The sequence below is a fragment of the Homo sapiens genome, chromosome 9 (genome assembly GCF_000001405.40).
Source record: "Homo sapiens chromosome 9, GRCh38.p14 Primary Assembly".
Classification (NCBI taxonomy): Eukaryota; Metazoa; Chordata; class Mammalia; order Primates; family Hominidae; genus Homo; species Homo sapiens.
Window position 1 is genome coordinate 68,912,486 of NC_000009.12, and position 24,934 is coordinate 68,937,419.

A 24,934-nucleotide genomic window follows, 5' to 3' on the forward strand; every position below is an offset into this window, starting at 1 on the left:
TCTGCAGGTGGAGGAATAACATGAATAGCTGACATTAATTGAGTGCTTTTTGTGTGCCTAAGACTTGGCACGGATTAACTCAGTTAATCTTCACAGTAACTTTGGTAGGAATTATTTGGTAGGAATCCCTATTATAGAGATAATACAGGTGAGAATAGATACCAGAAATGTTAAATACTTTGCCCAAAAACAAGCAAGTGGGGGAGCCATGAGTCAAACCAGGCCATCTGGTTCCAGAGCAAGGAGACTGAACCACCCTGCAGCCACACCAGCTCCTGCTAGCAGTAAGACAGAAGATAGTTTGCAGTGTGATGTGGTGTTAAAGATGTAAAAGCAAAAGGAGGACCAGCTGCTCTTTGTAGCCTTTAGTCATGAAGAGAGGATGGCAATGCCTATGATTCTGAGTTAGGATATTTCCACATTAGGTCCCCAAATCTACAGAAGTTACAGGAACACTCATGCATCACCAGTCATGAAAACCTGAGGAATATGCTCTCATTTCAAGAACAGGTAGTTTTTGATTGTGTCTTCAGGGTACTCTAGCAGCTGCTTTGACATTGACTTTGACATTGACTTTTTTACTACATTCCAATGTTGTTATTGACTTAAATTAGTCCTTGAGAGAGAAGGAAGAAAGAATCTGACTTTGGCAATAGAAAGCCTTGCAGTATTCCAACTTGCTTTCAGTTTTAAATAGTTCTGTGAATCATTCCTGTTTCCTTTTTTTACAAGTAGGGAAGTAAAGTCCTGCCAGAGCTAGACGGAAAGGCACCTGTATTTGCATTGTAACCTGAGTTTTGAATAGTAAATGCACAGGTACAGAATATACTAGCAACAGTAAGGTCAGGCAGACATTCTGGAAATGTGCACCTGAGTGATGAACTGGACTAACTGGTGTCTGTCATGTTGCAGAATGTTGCTAACTCTTAAAGCTCACACATGTTAAGTTGTTGGCAGATTTATCAATTCTTTTAATTAAAGGACTGGGATGATATGAGTAACGGAACTATTTTGTTCCTAATTGATGCAAATCTTAAAAGTACGTGACTAAAATCTGTTCCCAGAGTTTCTCATTACAGAAGCCTTTTAATTTGTTTTAAAATATATGCATATACATTTCTCTTTTTGTTCCTTCAGATTTCTTAATCGATGGTGATTTTTCCCAACCCAAACTCTAACTGCAATGGCCAGCTTTCCACATATGGGGATAGAATTTCTTTTTTTAAGCCTTCCACACTGAAAGTAGGGGTCTTGGCCTCACGAGGACAACTCAGCACCCTTCCCAGATGCTGGCAATCCAAAAGAAGAGTACAGAGGAGATGAAGCTCTTTTTAATATTTTTTATCACTTTTTCAAAAGTTAATTCTCTCTTGGAATTTATTCTTTAAAAAAAAAAATCGGACCCCTTACAGGATCAGGATAGTGTCTTACTTTATCCAATAGTTCAGTTTGGACCACACAGCCTGACTTTGTCTCACCTGTAAAATTGCACAGTTCTCTTAGGCCTGTTCATGGGCCGGGAAAAAAGACTGCAAGTACAAAACACATGGTTCAGGTTGAATATTGCAGGAAAAATATAAGAAAAAGTATTTCATTTTTAAAAAAATCTTCTTAACAATTAATTCATGGATGCTTTGCTGAGGAAAATGCTTTGCAGAGGTTGAATATTGCATGACAATATAAAAAAAGCATTTTTTTAAAAAAAACAAAGGTTTTTAACAAGCAGAATTCATTCATGGATACTCTGTGGAGGAAAATCATGGTGTCCGGAATGTTTTTAAGCTTGACCACTCCTAACTTGAGTAAATGATTCTGGGTGCCTTTTGGGAACATCCACAGTATTGTCAGAGTCTTCTTAGGACCTGCTTTTGAAGCCAGCTTACTGCTTTGGAGGATGCTTTGGGCTGTGCAGGGCAGAAGACTGTGTTTTTGCCAATTGAAAATTCCTGGCCAGGCACAGTGGCTCACGCCTGTAATCCCAGCACTTTGGGAGGCTGAGGCGGGCAGATCACGAGGTCGGGAGATTGAGACCTTCCTGGCTAACATGGTGAAACCCCGTCTCTACTAAAAATACAAAAAATTAGCAAGGCGTGGTGGCAGGCGCCTGTAGTCCCAGCTACTCGGGAGGCTGAGGCAGGAGAATGGTGTGAACCCGGGAGGTGGAGCTTGCAGTGAGCCGAGATTGCACCACTGCACTCCAGCCTGGGCAACAGAGCAAGACTCCATCTCAATAAAAAAAATAAACAAATAAATAAATAAATAAAAAGAAAAAGACAAGAGAAAATTCCTGTGTTGTCAGCCATCCAGGCCATACCCCTTGGTATCCACAAACCCAGAGCTTCTAAAGGAATTAGGATTTGCCAGAATGACACTGGTAAGCAGGCCAGCAATACAGTTCTATTTTTGTTGGCTAATTTAGTGACATTTGTTTTCAGAAGTGTAATTCTAGGAATGTTTACTTCAAGCGAACACCTGTTGTCTCTTGAGCTAGTGTGAGGGATGAGTCACCGTGAATTATAATCATAGTGATAAGAGCTAGCAATTAATTAAGCACTTTATGCTAGAGACTTTTCTAAGCACTTGACTTGCATTGTCACATTTAATTTTTACAAGCACCCTATATGATATGTAATAGTGTCAGCATTTTACAGATGAGGAAACTGAGACACAAGGAGATGATGTGACCTGCCTAAGGTCACAGAGTCCATGCTCTTCATCCCTCATCCCCCATGTCCTTATCCAAGTCTCTCCGAGAAAGGAAGCGCTAGCACTGATAAATATGAGTAGGGAAGTTAGCATCTGCAAATGGTCATTCATTGTGAAGAGTTGTTGAAGCTGTCTCGGGGGGTACTGTTGCCAAGCCATCATTTCAGTATGGTTGAGAATTAGAAAGGTTAAGGCCCTTCTACCACTTGTTTCTGTCTGAAGAAAGCATCTAATATCTGTTAGTGTTTTCTTTTAAGAGTCTGGCCCTTGGTGCTTCTGACATAAAACAGTCTTTCTTTCTCCCATGGTCTGTGCTACTGTATGGTGCAGTGAGGCACTGATAACACCTCCATGGAGAACCAGCCAAAGGGTCTGGTACTCAAGCATTGGATCAGTGGTAAGAAGGATTTCCTATCACCCCTCCCTTCCTCCTCCAACTTGACATCACTCCTCCTTCCATTAGGAAGGCTGGTTCCACATTGTTATCAAGCCATTCTTAGATCACTTGGGTTAGGAAATCCCACAGCCCAAACCTCTTAAGTGATAAGATTCTACTCTGAGCTCCTGCCTGACTCCCTTCTGAACTTGACTTTTTGAAAGATGAAGTGTGAACCCTCTGGAATAATTGATACCCATTTGCAGCCCACTCTCAGTTCTCATTGATGGCAAAGATGCCTGTAATACAGAATAACCTATTTCTTGAAGGCCATATGCCATACTTCACAAAGCCTTTTCTCAGGTGGCATCCATGAAGTGGCAGCCACAGGTAACTGAATCTTCAGGCCTGATCCCCTCTTTACTATATCATAAATATCAAAAGGCAGTTGGGCTGAACAAGAACAAGAAGCACAAGAAATTCTGGATTATTTTATCCCTAAACAATTATCTATAGGCTATGATCCTTCAGGGTGTTTCCTAGCTAAAGTATAGGAACAGCTTCTCATGTTGGTTCAGAGACAGCCGTTCTGACAACCAGGGTTGTCTTGCTTTTCTGAGCAGCTTTGTGTGAGAAATACCAGGTATTAAGAAGTCTGTTGTAGGGGAGAATCATATACAGACTAGTAGAAAAAGAACTTTATCATAGAGGAAAACACCCAGTTTGCAGGCATTCTTCCTGAACACTGCTCTTCCGTCTGAAAAGGTCCTGAGTGTCAAAGCCCCACCTATACCCTGAAGCCATCTCAACAGACTCGGACCCAGACCTTTGTCTCCTGTCATTTTCTTTTCAGAGCATTGCCATCTCTTTTGTCTGGCTGCATCCAACTATTTTTAATTCCCTTGCCTCCCCACTGTCTGCTGAGTGGATAATTAAACATGAAGTACTATGCTTTGTTGAGATTATATTTTTAAAGGACTTGCTACAGGGAACTGAACGGCACCTTCGAAAGACAGACTTTGAGGGCTGGGTGCGGTGGCTCACACCTGTAATCCCAGCACTTTGGGAGGCCGAGGCAGGCAGATCATGGGGTCATGGGTTCGAGACCAGCCTGGCCAACATGGTGAAACCCTGTCTCTACTAAAAATACAAAAATTAGCTGGGTGTGGTGGCGGGCACCTGTAATACCAGCTACTTGGGAGGCTGAGGCAGTAGAATCGTTTGAACCCGGGAGGCAGAGGTTGCAGTGAGCTGAGATTGCGCTAGTGCACTCCAGCCTGGGCGACAGGGCGAGACTCTGTCTCAAAAATAAAAAAAAAAAAGAGGTTTTGAGAAGAAGACCACTAACTTCCAAGAAGTTTATGAGAACAGAATTCAGACATAGAAAAGATACATTCAGCTAGAAAAGATACATTCTAGCTGTGTCTTCATGCTGAGGAAGATACAAGCGTACAAACTTACAAGCTTGTAGAGACTATTGGTTGTTGGTTTCTCTGCTCTACTGCTTAAGAGTGTGGACACCGGAGTTGACTGCTTGGGTCTCTGTCACTTATGTGCTGTGTGATATTGAGCAGATTACCTTATCTCTCTGTGCCTCCAGTTTTTCATCTGTAAAATAGACAATAGTAGTACCTAGCTTATAGAGTTGTTGAGATTGAATGCAAATGAGCTTCCTAGCACTGGCACATGGAAAGTACTCAATCCGTGCTATTAGTGAAACTTTCATGGAGGGTTGAGAAAACATGTGCTTGTTTCAGATTTGCATAAAATTCCCATCTTGGAGCCATTGTGATAATCCTTCCTGCATGTGGCCTAATAATAACCTCAAGTGTTTTTATTTTGATTCTTCATCTCTCAGCCACCCCGCTGGGAGGAATAACAGGAGCTGTGTGTCTGTATATCTAGAGCTCTCTGATAATGAGTAGATGAGACGAACAGGCCTTTGGGTTGACTGGCTTCCTGGTTCTTTTTCTCATTCAGGTGCTAGAAAGCTTCAAGATCATGGATTATAGCCTTCTGTTGGGAATTCATTTCCTGGACCATTCCCTCAAAGAGAAAGAGGAGGAGACCCCACAAAATGTGCCTGATGCTAAGCGGACTGGGATGCAGAAGGTTCTCTACTCAACAGCCATGGAATCTATCCAGGGTCCAGGGAAATCTGGAGATGGGATAATCACAGAGAACCCAGACACGTAAGTGCAGCCACACACCTACCCACCCTCTTGACTGTGGCAGCCCACGTCACTGGGTAATTATAGACAGTCACATTCACCTTAGGGTGGGACTCTAGGAATTAATTTCTACTTGGTGCTAAAATGGGTTAAACTGGTCTCCATTTCTATTCATCTAAAGATAACTAGATGAGTGGCAGTTTCTCCAGTTATTACTCCTTCACCCACTTGGTTTCTTTTTTTAACAATGGCTGAAAATGTTTTTGTCCCCATTAACTACATATTCAAAACATTCACCACAAGAGGAAGGAATAGACTTTGAATTTGAATAAACATGTTTTATTGTTTATTTATTTATTTTTTTTTTTTGAGACAGAGTCTCACTCTGTCACCCAGGCTAGAGGGCAGTGGTGCCATCTCAGTTCACTGCAACCTCCACCTCCCAGGTTCAAGCGATTCTCCTGCCTCAGCCTCCAAAGTAGCTGGAATTACAAACATGCACCACTACACCTGGCTAATTTTTGTATTTTTAGTAGAGATGGAGTTTCACCATGTTGCCCAGGCTGGTCTCAAACTCCTGGCCTCATGTGATCCACCTGCCTTGGCTTCCCAAAGTGCTGGGATTATAGGTATGAGCCACTGCACCCAGCCTGAGTAAAGATGTTTTAAGCAAATACACAATAAGAATGATGTTCGCAATTCAGAGCTTTTTGTCTGCCTAAGGGGATTCTGTTGTTCTAGTCCTGCACCCTGACAGATGTGGTCTCTCGTCTCAGCCAGATGTGGTAGTAACTACAGGATTAATTTGCATGTGTAAAATGCATATTGACTAACAGAAACAACTGCAACCAAAGTAAGTTATTGAAATGGCAGACTGCATCAGTTATGTGTACTAGCTGAGCAAGGAGACTGAAAGAAAGCAATCATTTTCCAAGGCCATAAGTGCCTGCCTTCTAGAATTCTCCAACGATGACTAAACCATGGGCATATTTCATTTTTGTAAAGGAAATTAACACATATTAAATATTTTTTGAAAAGTTCTTTCTTGCAAATCGATCTAACTGTCCAATAATCAGTTAAATTATCCTATATCAGTATGGTGAAATACAATAAGGCTATTAAAAACCACGCTAGCATTGAATATAAGGAAATGTTTGTCATTTAGCAAGTAAAAAAATCAGGTTATAAAACATGATAAATAATACCTTTTCTTGACTAATAAATACATACACACACACACATACTAGAAAAGCATACCAGATATTAAGTAGTTATCTTTGCATCCTAGGAATAACTGTTTAATTATATTTTTTCTTTGTGTTTTTCTGTATTTTATTTTTAAAAGTAAACATACATTACTCTTTTGATCAGAAAAAAGTATTGCATTTTTTAAAAGGAATATTTTATAATGGTCTAAAAATTCTTGCTCATAGTTTTAAAGTAGGAATAAGTTTTAAATTGGATTCTTCCCATCCAACTCTTCACGGTTAGCAGCTACGATATTATTCTCCTTTGTAGGGAAGTATTAATACATCATTCTGGATTCCCAGGATGACCTTAACTGATGGCCAAAAAACAAAAACAAAAAGGAACAAACAAAAAAAAAAGATGAATGGGAGATAGCCCAGAATTCTTAAAAATTGTCAATTTTTATTTTCAGTCTATTTATTAGAAATGATTTTTTAACTTCCTATTCTTATAATATGTAATCAAATATTTTCTCTTTTGCTCCATCAACAGAATGGGAGGCATTCCAGCTAAAAGCCATAGGGGAGAAAAACTACTTTTATTTATGGGCATTATTGACATTCTGCAATCATATAGGTAAGAAGTTTGAGGAGTGGTCTTTTATTATTTCAAAATCAATCTACAAAAGGTTCTGAAAAATCACCAAATGAGAGTGATTTTACATTCTCATTTCAATTTTTCCATTTATATTTAGGTTAATGAAGAAGTTAGAACATTCCTGGAAAGCTCTTGTTTATGATGGGGTAAGTGACTTATTTTCCTTATTATACTGTATATATTTCTGCTTTCTCAGAGACTTCAGAGTATGTGCAGGAAACTGTGTTGCTAGACTCTAAGAGGAAATGAAACAACGGTCTTTATAAACTCAGAATCTTAGGTTAGTAGATCAGTTCAAATCTAAGAATAAGGACAACATAAATTTGAATAGCTCTTCAAATACATGACATCCAGCCTAGCGGCCAGAAAAACAAAATGATATCTGTGTCTATGTGAAATCCAAAGGACCTAACTTTGAGAGAGGTCTTTTTTTGTAGGGATGATCAGTAGGGCATTTGAAATGAAGTTCTCACACAACCAAGCTACAGTAAGTGTGAGTCCTGACTCTGATGGTGAACAGCCTGGATTTGAACTCTGCATTCACTGCTGAACTAGCCATGTGACCAGGCACAATGCTGGTTATTTGGCCTCTTACCCTTGTTTCTCACCTGTACCAGGGGGATAGTAATGACACCTGCTTGGTGTGAACATGGGACAAAAAAATGCATTTCAGTGTTCAACACAATGCCTAACAAATACACAGAGAAAGTGAAAACTTTTTAATTGGTATGGATTTCTACATCAACATTTATACATGCTGGCTGCCTGAGGTTGTCTTTTTTTTTTTTTTTTTTTTTTTTTTGAGATGGAGTCTTGCTCTGTCACCCAGGCTGGAGTGCAGTGGTGCAATCTCAGCTCACTGCAACCTCTGCCTCCCAGGGTCAAGCAATTCTCTTACCTCACCCTCCTGAGTAGCTGGGACAACAGGTGCGTGCCACGACGCCTGGCTAATTTTTGTACTTTTAGTAGAGACAGGATTTCGCCATGTTGGCCAGGCTGGTCTCGAACTCCTGACCTCAGGTGATCCACCTGCCTTGGCCTCCCAAAGTGCAGGGATTACAGATGTGAGCCACTGCGCCCAGCCAAGAATGTCTTAATTGATGTAACTGAAGAAAAAAATCAGTTAACAAAGAGCAGTTTCTCCCATCTTTCTCTCTCCTTCTTTCTCCCATTCCGTCTCTGTCTCTCTGTCTCTCTCTCTCACACACATACACACACATACACACACACACACACACACACACACACGCAGTCCCATCTAGACATTAGATTTCTACTTCCTGCTACTAACAACATTTATTGGCCTAAGTTAATAACTTGAAGTAGCAATTCCAAAGAATATTTTGGTCAAGGATTTGGTCACACATTTCCTTTTAAGATGTTAGCAGATACTTTCTTTTGAAAGAGAATAAATTATAGATGATCTTCTTCTTCTTTCTTGGAAAGGAGCCCATAATTTCTCAGTTCTGTGGAAGACTGTTAATAACCTTTCAGCATGAAAGATCTACATTTTGTCCACCGCTAAGGACTGACTTCAGTCATAATGCACTTTTAAACAACAGGTTCACACATTTATTTCCAAGAATTAACCTCTAAGCTGGGTGTAGGGGCATGTGCTGGTAGTCCTGGCTACTCAAGAGACTGGGGCAGGATGATCACTTGAGCCCAGGAGTTCAAGTCCAGTCTTGAATATAGCAAGACCCTGTCTCTAAAAGAAAATTTTTTAATTAAAAAAAAAAAGAATTAACCTCAATCTTACTGAGATCAAAAATTCCTCCTATGAAAGAAGGTCAATATGGTAGGTTAATTTAATGTTTCCTTCCAGCTGAGAAAGGAAGGGACTGCATACATAGTACCTCGAACATTGAAGGGGAGAGAGTGAATACCCTCATTCCATTCCCCTCCTGTTTTCTGAGACCATTTCAATTTCCTGTTACCAGATGGATCTGAATCGTCTAGTCTTGTACCAACCAGGTGCATCTAAGGGCCCCCCACCTTTCTCTATTTAAAACCCAACACTTTGGGGGGAGACCAAAGCGGGCGGATCACTTGAGGTCAGGAGTTCGAGACCAGCCTGGCTAACATGGTGAAACCCTGTCTCTACTAAAAATACAAAAATTAGCCAGACGTGGTGGCACATGCCTGTAATCCCAGCTATTCGGGAGGCTGAGGCAGGAGAATCGCTTGAACCCAGGAGGCAGACGTTGCAGTGAGCCAAGATCGTGCTACTGCACTCCAGCCTGGGCGACAGAGCGAGACTCCATGTCATAAATAAATAATAAATAAATTAAAAAATATACCTATCATCTGCTTTTCTTTTCTTTTTAATGAAAATTTCTGTGCTGGTTATATATCATGAACCTATTTTTGTTTGTTTTCAGACATGGCTCTTACTTAAACAATGTTTATTCATGCCAAAGCGAACAACAATGTAACTTCTCTTTATAGGCAACGGCTGAACTTTAATCCTCTATGGATACCCCTCAGGCTCTTGCCTTCTGCTGATATTTCTAAATTACTGCCTTGTTGGAAGAATGTGTCCACTTCAGGCAGATACTGCCAGGATACCAGAAAGAGTACATTTTAAAAGATGTAGCAGGGCCAGGTGCAGTGGCTCATGCCTATAATCCCAGCATTTTGGGAGGCCGAGGAGGGCAGATCACTTGAGGTCAGGAGTTCGAGACCAGCCTGGCCAACATGGTCAAAACCCCTCTACTAAAAATACAAAAATTAGCCAAGTGTGGTGGTGGGTGCCTGTAATCGCAGCTACTGATGATGCCGATGCAGGAGAATCACTTGAATCCGGGAGGCGGAGGTTGCAGTGAGCCGAGATCCGCCACTGCACTCCAGCCTGGCGACAGAGCAAGACTCTGTCTCAAAAAAAAAGAAATTTCTCTATTGGAATCCATAAGCCTGAATTCAAAATGAAGCATTATAGAAGCAAATTTACTATGTCTACAAGTGTACAGCTTGGATACATGATTTGGATAAATGATTACTAAATAAACATAGAAAAGTAGCTCCTTCATCCACCTCCTTTCCCTTCATCTATCCCCTTTCCTGGATTTGTAATCAAATGACCCTTCAGCCCTAAAGACTCCTGCCAAGCATGAGAGAAGAATGGAGTTAACAGTTTAATTCAATTCAACTCTATGCAATCAGCAGATAATTCAATGCAAAGGAGTCATCTGTTAGCCTTGTCTCCTAGGAATCCTCCTAGCATCTCCTCACCTTGCTATTGGGAGATGAAACCAGAACTTTTTTTAACTTAAACGTCAATGTCACTCTTACATTAGGATAGTTTTGTTTATGTCTCCAATTTTTGTTCATGATTAAGGGAGTTACCCTTCATTCCAGATGACATTTGATGCACTGGTTGCCTGTATGTAAAAAAAGAACTTAAAAACTCCTCCTGGGACACAATGTTATGAATAAGGGCAGCTGTTTTGATTTATGTAGCACAGTTTTTTTTGCTGACTCTCCTCTGCTCAGTTTGGTCTTGAGTGTCTAGAATCTTTGTTCCGATTGAGTCTGTGCCCTCCTCCCTCAGCCCCAGACTCCTGGGCCCCACGGGCTACAGGACATTCCTGTTTTCTATCTCTGGGCCACCTTTGGTTAAGAATGTTGGCTAACAGAGAACCAATTGCATAGATCTCTCTTCTGACTTGAGATGAACATTAAGAGGTGACCCTGTGATCCTGGGTTTTTGTCTTTTCAGGACACTGTTTCTGTTCATAGACCAAGCTTTTATGCAGACAGATTTCTTAAGTTCATGAATTCCAGAGTTTTCAAGAAAATTCAAGGTAAGATTCTTATGAATTTTTTTTTTTACTTTTAGCAGCTAATTTCATTATGTATCTTTGCAAGATTTTTATTGGAAGAACTAACACATTTCTCTCCCTGCAGCAGTAATCACTTAGTAATTATGGTTAAGTAACCCAGTCAGGTGTTTATTGATGCCATAATCATTAGAGTCCTGCTTAGTGGTGAAAAAATTTAGAAGGTATCTAAATGTCCAACCATATAATATATTGGTTAAATATATTATGATACAGTCAAATAATGGAATAGTATGCACCCAATAAAAATGATGTGTTAGCACATTTAGTTTGCTAAATATAGATGTATTTACCTTTTATGTAGTTATCAGTCTGTATACCTTAAATGCACAGCAGAATTCTAAGGGAATATACAAAACAGCAGTTATTCTCATAGGACATTCTCTAGGATGGATCATATGTTAGGCCACAAAACAAGTCTCAGTACATTTTAAATGACTGAAATCATACAAAGTATCTTTTCTGATCACAATGGAATGAATCAATAAACAGTGAAAACTGAAAACTTCTCAAGTATTTGAAAATTAAACCACACACTCTTAAACTAGCAATGAGTTAAAGAAGAAATTACAAGGAAATTAGAAAAACCTCAAGATGAATGAAAAGGAAAACAAACATACCAAAAATTTATGGGATGCTGTGAAGGCAGTGCTCTGAGGAAAATTTATAGCTATAAACTCTTACCTTTAAAAAAAAAAAAAAAAAAAGGAGGCCGGGCGCGGTAATCCTAGCACTTTGGGAGGCTGAGGCGGGCAGATCACTTGAAGTCAGGCGTTCAAGACCAACTTGGCCAATATGGTGAAACCCCATCTCTACTAAAAATACAAAAATTAGCCAGACGTCGTGGTATGCACCTGTAATCCTAACTACTTAGGAGGCTGAGGCAGGAGAATCGCTTGAACCCAGGAGGCGGAGGTTGCAGTGAGCCGAGATCATGCCACTGTACTGCAGCCTGGGCAACAGAGTGACACTGCGCCTCAAAAAAAAAAAAAAAAAAAAAAAATGAAAAAAGAAAAATCTCAAATCTATACCCTAACTTTAAACCTTGAATAACTAGAAACAGAAGAGCAAACTAAACCCAAAGCTAACAGTGCTTATTCCAGATCAAGGGAGTATGTGGGCTCTTATTTTCCTTTATATTGATATTTATTAAATTTTCTACAATGAATATGTTGTATCTGTGGGAAGTTTTTAAGATATGTGAAAGGAGAAAATAATCCTATATATAGTTATTTTATCATTTTGCTATTCTGTGGTCCAATTTCATAAACTAAAACATGATAATTTAGCCATACACAACTGAAAAAGTAGAATGTTCATGTTTTATATTTAAATAAGACAAATTTTCCTGGTAATATTTATTGGAGATTTTTTAATTAATGAAAGTCAAACACTTGCAATGTAAACATTTTGGAAAATACAAGAAGATGAAAAAAAAATGAAAATTCTTGAAATGCCACAACCCAGAGATATCCACTGCTAATACTTTGATGTACTTTCTACCAATCTTTATTTCTATACTTTATGTATTTACGTTAAAATGATAGCATAATGGTACACAATTTTAGGTATAGTCCTCTTTTTTCACATAACATTATAACATGAATAGTTTATAATGTTATATTTTTCATATCATTGTATATTCTACAAGGCACCATTTGAAGTTGCAACACATTAAAATTGTATGAGTGTGACGTAATCTAATTTTTTTTTTTGCCAGAATCTATTTAACCATTCTTTCAGTATTGGGCATTTACATTGTTTCTCCTTTTTCTATTTCTTAATAGTTTATGAACATAATTTCAGATAAACGTTGTGTCCAAATTTAGGATTATTTCTTTAGAATGGATTCCAAGAAAGGGGTACTAGGGTAATAAAATGCACGTAACTGCGCAGATAGATTGTGCCACAGAAGGTTCCCACGAGGCCATGAGAGCCCGTATTCTGCCAGCCCTTAGCCAGCATTGTGGTTTTTAAATTATGCCACTCTGATAAGTAAAAAATGTTATCTGATTGTTTTATTTTGCATGTAAGTACTGGTAAGGTTCAACCCTTATTCATGTTTATTAGCCATTTGTAGTTCCTTTGAGAATTGAGCTTTGTAACATTTGACCATTTATATTGGGTGTTTGTTATTTTTCCGAATTATTAATATCAATTCCATGTATTAAAGATATTAACCCCTTTTTAAACCTTATTTCACTCTAAGGGAAACTTTCTTCCACATTTGACTCTCTCAGTGGTATCTTAAAATTGCTGTCAAATTGACATCACCGTAAATTATTTGCCCAAGGTTTCTTTGGCCTAAAATAGACTATAAGATAGTGTTTATTGAGACTGCAAGCCTACATGAATACCAGCTTGTGGTTCCAATTTTTTTTTTTTTTTTTTTTGAGACAGGGTCTCACTCTACCACTCAGGCTGCAGTGCAGTGGCGTGATTTCAGCTCACTGCAACCTCTGTCTCCTGGGTTTAAGCGATTCTTCTGCCTCAGCCTCCTGAGTAGCTGGGATTACAAGCATGCATCACCACACCCAGCTGGTTTTTGCTTTTAGTAAAGATGGGGTTTCGTCGTGTTGGCCAGGCTGTCTTGAACTCCCAGCCTCAAGCGACCCACCCACCTCAGCCTCCCAAAGTGCTGGGATTACAGGCTTAAGCCACCGCGCCCTGCTGTGTTTCCAATTTTTAAGAAAGATTTTTTTCACTTTTCTTAGCCCTGTGCCAAGGTTGGAAAAACATGGGTTTCACTGCAGCCCCTGGTGCGTTTTGGAGGATCTAGCCCTTTAATGTTCTAGCTTTGGTGAGCCTCCCTTAGGAGACTCCCCATCTTGGGAGGTTTTTCTTTCTTAGGGGCATATAAATTAATGGTACAATCAATGGCATCTTCAGTTTCATAAAATATGGCATGTGTCGCAGATTTTTCCGGTTTGGATAATTTTTCAGGTTTTTAATGGAACAAGTTGTTTAACTCACGGGTAATCAAATCTATTGACATTTTCTCATTTTGATTTTATTATCTATTTTTTAATAATAGCTTTATTGAGATATAATTAAGATGTGTATGCTTCACCCTTTTAAAGTGTACAGGCCTATGATTCTTGATTTATTCACAGTTATGCAATCATCACCATTTTCTAATTTTTTAAATTTATTTATTTATTTATTTTGAGATGGTGCCTCACTCTGTCGCCCAGGTTGGAGTGCAATGGCGCAATCTTGGCTTACTGCAACCTCTGCCTCCTGGGTTCAAGTGATTCTCCTTTCTTAGCCTCCCAAATAGCTGGGATTACAGGCATGAGCCACCACACCCAGCTAATTTTTGTATTTTTAGTAGAGATGGGGTATCACCATGTTGGCCAGGCTGGTCTTGAACTGCTGACCTCAGGTGATCTACCCGCCTCAGCCTCCCAAAGTGCTCAGATACAGGCATGAGCCACCATGCCCAGCGATTTTCTAATTTTAGAACATTTTCATTACCCCAAAAAGAAACCCCATACCCATTAGCAGTCACTCCCCATTCCGTCCTCTTCCCAGCCCCTGGCAACTACTGATTTACTTTCTGTCTCTATGGTTTTGCCTATTCTGGCATTTCATATAAATCATATAATGTGAACTTTTCTGTTTGGCTTTTTGCACTTAACAGAATATTTTTGAGGTTTATCTGTAGCCTCGTAGCATGTACCAGTAATTTATTCTTTTTATTGCAGAATATTCCATTATATTGATATACCATAGTTTGTTTATTCATCAGTTGATGGATATTTGGGATGTTTCCATTTTGGCCATTATGAATAATGCTGTTACGAACATTCATGGACAAGGTTTTGTATGGGCATGTATTTTCATTTCTTCTGAATATGTACCTAGAAGTGGAATTGCTGGGTCAGATGGTAACTCTCTGATAACATTTTGAGGAACTGTCAAACTCCTTTCCAAAGCAGCTGTGTCATTTTACAATCCCACCAGCAACATATACGAGTTCCAGTTTCTCTACATCCTCACTGACATATGTTATTGCCTGTCTTTTTTTCTTTTGGCTATCCTGGTAGGTATGAAGTAGTATCTCACTGTAGTTTTGATTTGCATTTCTCTAATGACTAATGGTATTAAACATCTTGTATGTGCTTATTAGCAATTTATATCTTCTTTGGAGAAATGCTCACTCAAACCCTTTGCCCATTTTTAGTTGTCTTTTTATTATTGAGTTGTAAGAGTTCTTTGTATATTCTGGACACAAGTCCGTTATCAGATATATGATTTGCAAATATTTTCTTCCATTCTGTGGGTTGTCTTTTTACTTTTTTGATAGTGTCTTTTGAAGCACAAAATTTTTTAATTTTGATGTCCAATTTTTTTCCTTTTGTTGCTGGTGTCTTTGGTGTGATCTAAGAAAGCATTGCCTAACCCAAGGTCATGAAGATTTACTTTCATGTTTTCTTTGAAGAGTTTTATAGTCTTAGCTCTTACATTTAGGTTTGTGATTCATTCTGATTTAATTTTTTTGTATATGATATGAGGTAGAGTCTATCTTCATTCTTTTGCATGTGGGATAGCCGGTTGTTTCACCACCATTTGTTGAAAAGCCTATTCTTTCCCCTTATTGAATTATCTTGGCACTCTTATTGAAAATCATGAGAGAACATAAACCAGACAAAAAAAAAAGGAAAAGAAAGTCGATTGACCACAATTATAATAAGGATTTACTTCTTGACTCTCACATCTGTTCTATTGATCAATATGCCTACCCTCATAGCAGTACCATACTATCCTCATTACTTCTGGTTTGTATTGTTAAGTTTCATAATCAAGAAGTGTGAGTCTTTCAGCTACTCTTTTTCATACTGTTTTGGCTATTCTGGGTTCCTTGTATGTCCCTATGAATTTTATAATCAGTTTGTTAATTTCTGGGGGAAAAAGGGTAGCTGGTAGTTTGATAAAGATAGTGTTGAATTTGGGGAGTGTTGCCATCTTATATCTTACATCCCATAAATGTGGGATTCTTTTTAGTTAAGCCTTATGCTTACAAAGGACTTCACCATTGAATAATCAGATAAATGTTCACCCATATTTTTCTTTTACCTTTTATAGATTGTTGTTTATGTTTTCTTTTCTTTAATCTATGTTGTATTCATTTTGGTGTATGAAGTGAGGGAGATCTAACCTTGTTTTTTCACAGGTAGTTAACTATTGTCCTAATACCACTTATTGAATAAGATATTTCACTTCAAAGCACAGTCAAGTACTTTATCACTTTTGTTTATTGCGTAGGTAGTAGTGATAATGTTTATAGTGCTGCTACAGTGGAAAATAGTCCTGCTACAGTGGGAAAGGTGATTCCTATCTACTTTTCTTGCTTTATGTTTTCTAACATTTATCATGACCTATAATGACCTATACTTTAGGTCCTATGCTATAGGTTTTACTTACTTAATGCCTGTCCCCTTTATTTAAATGTAAGCTAGCTGGGCACGGTGGCTCACGCCTATAATCCCAAGACTTTGGGAGGCCGGGGTGGGCGGATCACGAGGTCAGGAGTTCGAGACCAGCCTGACCAACGTGGTGAAACCCCTTCTCTACTAAAAATACAAAAATTAGCCAGACGTGCTGGCACATGCCTGTAATCCCAGCTACTTGGGAGGCTGAGGCAGGAGAATCACTTGAACCTGGGAGGCAGAGGTTGCAGTGAGCCAAGATTATGCCCCACTACACTCCAGCCTGGGTGACAGAGCAAGACTCTATCTAAAAAAAAAAAAAAAAAAAAAAAGTAAGGTGACTGCTGTATCCCCAGCACTTAATGAAGCCATGTGGGTTTGGAGGGTGCACATATTGTAATTTTTATTTGTTGAATGGATGAATATACCATGTATACTGGGTCCGATCTTCTCCTTAAGGTCCAGGACAGATCCCTGTAGAGATTATCTCCACTACAGGGTAATTTTAACCATTCACTCCCTCTTCTGGCTCCACACCTCATCCTTCTATCTGCTCATTCTCATATATCATAGAAACAAACCTCCTCAACGATCTGTCTCTCTTCAGTTCCTGGTGTATCTTTTTCCTCCTTCACTGTCACCCTATTGGAGATGAGAGTTGGATGTACTTGCTGTCTCACTTTTTTTATTTCTTGTCACTATTCAGTGTTCTCCAGTGGCTTTTGATCCCACCACTCTACCAAAATGTTCTTTTTGAAGTAATCAACAATCATTGCTCAAGCCATTGAACAACTTTCAGTTTTTTTTGTTTTTGTTTTTGTTTTTGTTTTTTTGAGATGGAGTCTCACTCTGTTGCCCAGGCTGGAGTACAGTGGCACTATCTCAGCTCACTGCAACCTCTGCCTCCCAGGTTCAAGTGATTCTCCTGCCTCAGCCTCCAGAGTAACTGGGACCACAGGCATGCGCCACCACACCCAGCTAATGTTTGTATTTTTAGTAGAGACAGGGTTTTGCCATGTTGGCCAGGCTGGTCTTGAACTCCTGACCTCAAGTGATCCACCCACCTTGGCCTCCCAAAGTGCTGGGATTACAGGTGTGAGCCACCGCACCCAGCCTCTTTCAGTCTTCTTAAAACTCTCCAGCATGTGAGACCACTGATAGCAGTTCTCTGTGAAATAACGCTCTTCGCTTGTCTTTCGTAACTCAGGACTTCCCTGGTTGCCTTCCAGCCTCTCTTCTCCTCCTTGGTATCCTTTGGAAGCTTTTCATCCCTGCTTACTCTTATTGTGGTTGCTCCTCAGGGTCCAGGCTCTGACTCGGTCTCTTCTTATACAGCACTCTGGGTAATTCCCTGTTCTCCCAAGGGTTCAGTTACCATCTGTGTACTTGCAACTTACTCCCCACACTTCTAGCAATTCCCCTTGCCTGTCCACTCCCCAAACTTAAGCATCCACTAGATTCCACAAGCTCAGCATGCCCAAAATTGAATTTAGCCACTTACCACCCCAGAGTCTGCCTCTCTACCTGGGTCCACGTCTTATGGAAGACCACCACAATCCACCCAATTACCCAGCCAGAATGCTGCCATCATCCCTTGACCCCTTCCTTCTGCTTACCACCCACGTGCAGTTACTCAGCAACACCTATCAGTCCTCACTCTGCAGTATCAGGATTGCAGCCCCTTCTCTCACAGTACCTCTCCTGATTCAGCCACTGTGTTTTTTGGTTTGCAGGTTTTATTATTATTTTTTTTTTTGCATAAAGTTGTGGCCCCAAACAGGTCTCTTTGCCTCCCATCATGTACCCATTCAATCCAATTTCCACACACACACACTGCAGCTAGAGGAATCAGTTTAAAATATAAATCTGCTCTTGCTGATTTCTGTTAAAACCCTTCCATGCTAATAATAATAATAATAATAATGCTAAAGGAAATAAACGTCCATGGATTCCCTGGTGCCCAAAGTCCTTAACTTTCACTTAACACATTTCCTGGCACACAGTAGACACTCAATGGTTATTTGATGAATAATGCAATGAATGAATGGAATTTTTATCTAACACCACCATTTCAAAGGGTAATTAAATTATTAGAAAAGTAGACACTTGAGTTAACTTTAAGATGTTCCATCAACCATGGTTAATTTAAAGCCCTTAATGCCTAAAGGCATACTCCCCTCCCACCAAGAAAATAGTACCTGGTCTTCAAGTTTCTTTTTTGAAGTCAGTGTTTTTTAACCTTTTTAAATCCCTTCATCCCACCCACAAGTGAGTCATGCTGCCGGTGTAATAATGTCTACAAAATCCTATAATATTTCCTGGAAATATTAGCCACCATTATGTTGAAACTTCACTGAAATTCTCCATACGAATAATTTGTCTAAAGTACTAAAGCTTAGTTTCCTGAATAGAATATAAGAGTTAAATTAATTTGTTAGAGAAAATTAACTGTTCTAAAACTTCAGAACAATAATGCATTCATGAACAAACACTCGTGCACCTATTATGTATCTAGCACTACACTAAGCACTGATGATATAGAAAGCTTTTTAAATATTGATTAGTTCCTCCCTCAATAATTTAATAGTCTCTTTTGAGCCGGAGATTGAAACATGTGACAGATCTGTAATGAAACAATTGCTAATATTTCTGCATATGCTACTATGGGTACGCGGAGAGAAATAAGAGAAAAAAAGACCAATTCTTCCAAAAGAGAGCTCACAGAGAAAAAGATATTTCAACTAAATCCTGAAAATGTAACCCAGAGTTCATTAAGAAGAGAGACAGGAAGGGCATCTCAAGGAGAAAGAACAGCATGTGCAAAGGCCTAAGGGCAGAATGAACATGGTAGGTTCCAATATGGCAGAAGGGTGAGCTGAAAAGTGAACATGGAGGCAGTCGAGTGGCAGAATGCAAGGCTAGAAATGGACACAGGATACCTACTGCCAGCCATGGTTGAGCCAAAGACAAATCTAGGCGTTTCTGCCACACAAAAGGAAGCAACCAGCCACCCAAACCAGCTCTCAATGTTACCCAGTCAAAAGAGATCCTGAGAATTAAATTTCTGCAAAATCCAAGCTCTTATCTGCTGAGTGAGATCATTCCTTTAAGGAAGAAACTCACCACTTGAGACAAAAGTGAACTCTTTGTTGTGGTGCTATGTGGTCTTGGCAGAGGTTTGTTTTCCGGTCTTCTCTGCTCCTCATTATACGTGATGCTGATAAAGAACAAAGAGTTACTTCTTTTTCCAGTCTTTTGGCCCTCACTCCATGAAATGCCATGAGTATAGGTCTCCTGAGTATCTTTTCCTCATTACACGGCTCTCACCCTGATCGCATTTCCTTGGTACTGCCGAAAACCTTTTGATCATTGCTGTTTCTTCGTTTAGAGAAATAACATTGACCTAAGAACTATGATGTAGAAAAGCAGTTCTCAAACCTTTTGGTCTCAGGGCCACATTACACCCTTAAAAATTATTGAGGACACCAAAGAGCTTTTATTTATGTGGGTGATAGCTATCTATATTTCACATATTAGAAATTAAAATTGAGAAAAATTTAAAAATATTTATTAATTCTTACCAGTTAACAAAAAAAATTGCGTGTTAACATCAGTCAATTTTTAACATAAATAATTACAAAATATAATTATATTTTCCACAAATAATTTAGTGAGAAAAGTGGAATTGTTTTACCTTTTTGTTTGAAATCCTTAACGTCTGGCTTAATAGAAGATAAGTTGGAGTCTCACATCTGCTTCTGAATTCAATATGTGGTGACATCACAGGTCATGTAACATCTAGAAAACTCTACACATATGAGAGAATGAAAGTGAAAAAGGCAAATAATGTCTTATGATGATGATGAAAATAATTTTAACATCACAGATCTTCTGAAAGGGTCTCAGAGACCCCTTAGTTTCCACCCCACATCTGAGATCCTCTGATTTAGAAGTTTTAAAATACAGCTGGGCACAGTGGCTCATGCCTGTAATCCTAGCACTTTGGGAGGCCAAGGCAGGCAGATCACCTGAGGTCAGGAGTTCGAAACCAGCCTGACCAACATGGAGAAACCCCGTCTCTACTAAAAATACAAAATTAGCCAGGCATGGTGGCGCATGCCTGTAATCCCAGCTACTCAGGAAGCTGAGGCAGGAGAATTGCTTGAACCTGGGAGGCGGAGGTTGCAGTGAGCCGAGATTGCGCCATTCTCTCCAGCCTGGGCAACAAGAGCAAAACTCCGTCTCAAAAAAAAAAAAAAGAAGAAGAAGCAGTTTTAAAATACTATATTGAAAGACAGGAGTTTATTGAAGGTCTATAAAAGTTAGCAGATAGAGATGATAGGTTGATAGGTGTAGCAAACCACCTTGGCACATGTATACCTATGTAACAAACCTGCATGTTCAGCACATGTATCCCAGAACTTAAAGAAAAATAAAATAAAATAAAATAAATAAAAGTTAGCAGATAGAATGTTAAGGCAGAGGCCAGTGTGACAATAATGGCTTCTTCCTTGTAAAACAAGTGTAACCACTGTTTGAGAGAGTGGAGAATTAAGGTAAACATAACTTATTTTTTAAACATTCAAAAATTTCTTCCCCTCAAAGAAAAACAAATTCAAGGTTTATCTTTTTCTCCCCTCAGTTTAACCAGAAAACAGAATGCTAAAGAACTAGAAAATGAACCACCTAGAAAGCAACTTAAGAAAAGAAAGACACCTGAAATTCATGCTTGCTAGTTCTGTGACCCTGAGCAAGCCACAATCTTTCTATTCTCAGTTTCTGGGCCTAAAAAAGGGCCTTCCTCTTCCTCATACATGTGGATGGTTTGAGATATGCAATGTGAATGTTGGATTCCAGACTCTAAAGCCCTCCACAAATGTTATTTATTAGGATGATGATATTATTATGATTCTAAGACTGCTCGAGGGACAAATAAACCTTCCCTTCTCTTTAAGTGGAGAGATTGTCCTCCATTCTTCTCTCATTTGTGTGTCCCAAAGTCCTTCTCCAATTAAGTTCTTGCAAGCAGCCTCTGGGAAGGCCCCAGATGAGCTGTGTAATCTAAGCTCTGAGATTCCCAAGGCTAAACACAATTACTCTAATACACTTACTATCAGGCTACCCCTTTATGCAAACTTCTAAAGGAAGAGAGACACTGCCAAAAACATATTCAGGGGAAAACATAAAGAGGCCTCAACTTCCCTCTCCCCCTCCCTCCAAGGAAATTCTCAAGCAATATTAAGCCAAGAAGAATTATTGCAGCAAATAGTGAATGTAAATAAGGATGGCCTTGCTGCCGCTTAAGCAGCTTCCATGGACGTGTCCTCCATGAAGTCCCAGGCTTCAGCAAGCATGATTGATGGTGAAGTACATTTTCATTAGTTCAGGTTCCCAACACACTTCTGAAGTTGTAGACTGCTGTTTAGACAAAGATTGGAAGTGAATTATACGTCTGACATAAAACCATGACCTAGAAAAGAGCTAAAGGGTAGGAAATGTCAGTGGAAAGTCACAGAAAGAAAAAAGCAACCAGAAGTAACTTGGCTAAATTGGGCAACATGAGTAGAAGATTAAACATTGGCATGTTTAGAAATTCCCAGTCCCAAGTTAATAAAACCAGGGTCGTGAGAATTCTCTATACTTTACCATCTGTGCTTATCAACTCACCCATCCTCCTCCCAGCACTAGAAAAACATTGTTTGGAGAGGGGGGAATGATTCTTTAGCAATAAAACATTTGAATTTTACCTCAAGTAAGACTTTATTGCAAAATCTGGAGAGAAATTTTAACTTTTAATTTGCTCTAGGAAATTCTGATTTAAGTCAAGTCATTTTGGACAAATAATATAGCCAATTCATCGTATTCATCAGATGAAACAAGTTCATCTCCCTTTCCATATATATAAAATAAGCGTCTTGTCTTCTATTCAAATAATAACTAAAATGTTAATAAATAATAAAATATTCACTTTTAAATAAAATAGTAATGTGATTTTACAGTAAATATCTGTATTTGTCCTTTTCCTTTCTGTCTAGCTTTGAAGGCTTCACCGTCTAAGAAACGGTGCAATTCAATCGCCGCCCTAAAGGCCACTTCACAGGAGATTGTGTCCTCAATTAGCCAGGAATGGAAGGATGAGAAGCGGGATTTGCTGACTGAAGGACAAAGTTTTAGCAGCCTTGATGAAGAAGGTAAAGATATGTAACTTTTTTAAAAAGACAAACGTTCTTGTGATTTATTTATACAAGTAAATTTGCAGAAGAAAAATTTAAAAATACCTGCTCTAAGAAATAAAATATATTAATTAAGTTTTTAAAGGATAGCTGCAGTGGCCGGGCGCAGTGGCTCATGCCTGTAATCCTTACACTTTGGGAGGCCTAGGTGGGTGGATCACTTGAGGTCAGGAGTTCGAAACCAGCCTGGCCAACATGGCGAAACCCTGTCTCTACTGAAAATACAAAAAATTAGTCAGGCGTGATAGCGGGCGCCTGTAATCCCAGCTACTTGGGAAGCTGAGGCATGAGAATCACTTGAACCCAGGAGGCGGAGGCTGCAATGAGCTGAGATTGCACCATTGCATTCCAGCCTGGGCAACAGAGCAAGACTCTGTCCCAAATAAATAAATAAATAAATAGGATAGCTACAGTAAGATGCAGTTCATGCACATTTTAACTACCACATAAAAAATACAATTTATGGTTTACGATAAAAATTAGACAATACTAATTCAAAAAGAAAAATGTCTGCTTCCACTACCTGATGGTAACAAATACTAACATTTTGTTGCTTTTACTTCTAGACCTTATTCTGTACATGTACACATACACATATGCACGAGTACACATACACACACATACACTCAATGTAACAATAAGTTGTCTCTTCATTTAGGTCTTCTTTAATGATTTATTTTTTGGTACCCACTGGTAATACTCAGGAGGTACTACACGTTCTTTACTTTGAAAGCTTCATAACCATGAGCAGGTACCAAGAGAAGGAAAGAAAAGAGGCAGAAAGGAAAAATATGGAACGTTTCACAAATTTGCATGTCATCCTTGCACAGGGGCCATGCTAATCTTCTCTGTATCGTTCCAATTTTAGTATATGTGCTGCCAAAGTGAGCGCTTTAATGAATTTCAATAAAGTTTTATAATATTTTTCTTGTGTGGCTTGTACATATACCTTTTGTTAGATTTATTTCTTGGATAAATGCAGAGATATTGATATAGATTTTTTTCTGGATTTTTAAAAACAGTATCTTTTTTAAGAATTGAGTTTTCTGGCCATTTGTTGCTATTGCATAGACTTCACACCCTTTTTGTCTTTTTTTCTTTCTTAACTTGCTGGTTAGGACTTCTTGTACAATGATAAATAGAAGTGGTGATTGTAGACAGCCTTGCTTTGTCCTGATTTTAAAGGGAGTACTTCTAATGTTTCACTGTTGAAAAAGAAGTTTGCTGTATTTGATACCCATAATCAAGTCAAGGAAGTTCCTTTTTTTATTCCTACTTTGCTAAAAGTTTTTTTTTTAATTAATCAGGAAGGAGTACTGAATTTTATCAAATACTTTATCTGCCAAGTTAATCATTTGTTTTTTCCCTTCTAATCAAATATGGGAGAATGACATTTTAGATTTTTCTATTAGTATATTCTTTGGAGAATCTCAGCATTTCCTGAAAATGTCTTCTACTTTCTACAGAAGTTAAGACCTCTTCTAGGGGTTTTCTTTTCCTCAGAGTCTTTAAGATGTGGTGTTATTTCTATTCCTTCTTCAGCAGCACTTATCCATATGTGCTGTTTGGTTTCTTTCTTTCTCATCTTCCCATAAACCAACTTTTACCTGGAGTTAATGATTTCAGCAAGAGAGTTACAGAGGTGCCCTTGATCCTCTCCGAATTGGTGTCTCCAATTCCTAGCAGACATTCATCCCTTTCTCCTAAGCTCCCCTGCACTGGCATCTCCCACACTATACTACCTGATTTTCTGATAGCACATGCAAAACTGCAGGTGCCTGTAGTCTGGGAAATAGGATAAACTTATTTTAAAATTATATTAGTTTATTGATTTGCATATGTTGAACCAGCCTTGCATCCCAGGGATGAAGCCGACTTGATCATGGTGGATAAGCTTTTTGATGTGCCGCTAGATTCGGTTTGCCAGTATTTCATTGAGGATTTTGGCATCAATGTTCATCAGAGATATTGGCCTGAAATTTTCTTTTTTTGCTGTGTCTCTGCCAGATTTTGGTATCAGGGTGATGCTGGCCTCATAAAATGAGTTAGGGAGGATTCCCCCTTTTTCTATTGTTTGGAATAGTTTCAGAAGAAATGGTATCAGCTCTTCTTTGTACCTCTGGTAGAATTCAGCTGTGAATCTGTCTGGTCCTGGACTTTTTCTGGTTGGTAGCCTATTAATTACTGCCTCAATTTCAGAACTTGTTGTTGGTTTATTCAGGGATTCGACTTCTTCCTGGTTTAGACTTGGGAGGGTCCAAAGAATTTATCCCTTCCTTCTAGATTTTCTAGTGTATTTGCACAGAAATGTTCATAGTATTCTCTGATGGTA

The 24,934-nt window shown here is 39.0% G+C and overlaps 1 protein-coding gene and 1 pseudogene across 14 annotated transcripts in view, besides 1 other annotated feature; one reads left to right on the top strand and one right to left on the bottom strand.

Moving 5' to 3' along the window:
- Positions 1-24,934, top strand: part of PIP5K1B (phosphatidylinositol-4-phosphate 5-kinase type 1 beta) — a 303,937-nt gene that overhangs the window by 207,246 nt on the left and 71,757 nt on the right. For all 14 annotated transcript variants that reach the window (XM_017015189.2, XM_047423951.1, NM_003558.4 and 11 more), the window contains 5 exons: positions 5,063-5,274; positions 6,994-7,077; positions 7,196-7,244; positions 10,817-10,901; positions 22,405-22,560. In XM_017015189.2, the coding sequence (XP_016870678.1) occupies positions 5,063-5,274; positions 6,994-7,077; positions 7,196-7,244; positions 10,817-10,901; positions 22,405-22,560 (586 nt within the window). The remainder of the gene's footprint in view (positions 1-5,062; positions 5,275-6,993; positions 7,078-7,195; positions 7,245-10,816; positions 10,902-22,404; positions 22,561-24,934) is intronic.
- Positions 19,546-20,745: an enhancer, noted in NCBI's record as "MED14-independent group 3 enhancer chr9:71546947-71548146 (GRCh37/hg19 assembly coordinates)". NCBI's record gives its function as "activates an origin of replication core promoter dependent on BRD2, BRD4, P300/CBP and CDK7 cofactors, and independent of MED14, by STARR-seq in HCT116 cells {active_cell/tissue: HCT116}" and the evidence as "EXISTENCE:reporter gene assay evidence [ECO:0000049][PMID:35650434]".
- Positions 23,389-23,492, bottom strand: RNU6-820P (RNA, U6 small nuclear 820, pseudogene; annotated as a pseudogene).